General features: G+C 44.1%; 1 annotated feature.

Annotated features, from left to right (window-relative positions):
• Positions 289-388: a silencer, noted in NCBI's record as "silent region_1571". NCBI's record gives its function as "represses an Ori minimal core promoter by ATAC-STARR-seq in GM12878 lymphoblastoid cells {active_cell/tissue: GM12878}" and the evidence as "EXISTENCE:reporter gene assay evidence [ECO:0000049][PMID:35858748]".

Genomic DNA, 388 nt, shown 5'->3' with positions numbered 1-388 from the left:
CACAAGAATTACTCCTTTTATCTCCAAACATCTCCAGAATTATCTAATTTCTGAACTGTTCCTCTTTTCTTCCTCCACCAGGCATAATCTGGGATTATTTCAGAGAGAATTAAGCATCTCCCTAACAAATCTTGCCTCTCTGACACAAGCTGTGGGAGGCTCCAGGTCATTGCTCCGAGATTTGCAGCGTTTGGGCTACTACAATTCAGTTCTCCATTCTGCAACTTCTAAAGAAACAACCTGAAAAAAGAAAAGCTAGCAGAATCCTTCAACTGTAGGAAGAACTGCCAACTTTCTCTTGGGGTAAGGGCACCCTCTGGCGGTGAGTGTCTGTATGTGGCCTAACAGCACCATCTCTGAGATACGCAGTTCCTTAAGTGAGCCAAAC

The sequence above is a fragment of the Homo sapiens genome, chromosome 1 (assembly GCF_000001405.40).
Source record: "Homo sapiens chromosome 1, GRCh38.p14 Primary Assembly".
NCBI lineage: Eukaryota > Metazoa > Chordata > Mammalia > Primates > Hominidae > Homo > Homo sapiens.
The sequence above is the reverse complement of the archived record's forward strand: the minus strand, read 5'-3'. Positions and strand labels throughout refer to the sequence as shown.